This window comes from Homo sapiens, chromosome 5, assembly GCF_000001405.40.
Source record: "Homo sapiens chromosome 5, GRCh38.p14 Primary Assembly".
Taxonomy (NCBI): Eukaryota; Metazoa; Chordata; class Mammalia; order Primates; family Hominidae; genus Homo; species Homo sapiens.
Window position 1 is genome coordinate 23190278 of NC_000005.10, and position 1279 is coordinate 23191556.

Consider the following 1279-nt stretch of genomic DNA (forward strand, 5'->3'; position numbering starts at 1 on the left):
AACATCTCCTTAAGCTGATAAGCAACTTCAGCAACGTCTCAGGATACAAAATCAATGTGCAAAAATCACAAGCATACCTATACACCAATAATAGACAAACAGAGAGCCAAATCAGGAGTGAACTCCCATTCACAATTGCTACAAAGAGAATAAAATACCTAGGAATCCAACTTACAAGGGAAGTGAAGGACCTCTTCAAGGAGAACTATAAACCACTGCTCAATGAAATAAAAGAGGACATGAACAAACAGAAGAATATTCCATGCTCATGGATAGGAAAGATCAATGTTGTGAAAATGGCCATACTGCCCAAGGTAATTTAAAGATTCAATGCCAACCCCATCAAGCTACCAATGACTTTCTTCATGAGATTGGAAAAAACTACTTTAAAGTTCATATGGAATCAAAAAGAGCCCACATTGCCAAGACAATCCTAAAAAAAAAAGAACAAAGCTGGAGGCATCATGCTAACTGACTTCAAACTATACTACAAGGCTACAGTAACAAAAACAGCATGGTACTGGTATATACACCTGCTATATATACAGTAACAAAAACAGATATATAGACCAGTGGAACAGAACAAAGGCCTCAGAAATAACACCACACAACTACAACTATCTGATCTTTGACAAACCTGACAAAAACAAGAAATGGCAAAGGATTCCCTATTTAATAAATGGTGCTGGGAAAACTGGCTAGCCATATGTAGAAAGCTAAAGCTAGATCCCTTCTTTACACCTTATATAAAAATTAATTCAAGATGGGTTAAAGACTTAAATGTTAGACCTAAAACCATACAAACCCTAGAAGAAAACCTAGGCAATACCATTCAGGACATAGGCATGGGCAAGGACTTCATGACTAAAACATCAAAAGCAATGGCAACAAAAGTCAAAGTAGACAAATAGATCTAATTAAACTAAAAAGCTTCTGCACAACAAAAGAACTACCATTATAGTGAACAGGCAACCTACAGAATGGGAGAAAATTTTTGCAATCTACCCATCTGACAAAAGGCTAATATCCAGAATCTACAAAGAACTTAAACAAATTTCCAAGAAAAAAACAAACAACCCCATCAAAAAGTGGGTGAAGGATATGAACAGACACTTCTCAAAAGAAAACATTTATGCAGCCAATAGACACATGAAAAAATGGTCATCATCACTGGTCATCAGAGAAATGCAAATCAAAACCACAATGAGATATCATCCACGCCACTTAGTATGGTGAGCATTAAAAAGTCAGGAAACAACAGATGCTGAAGAGGAAGTGG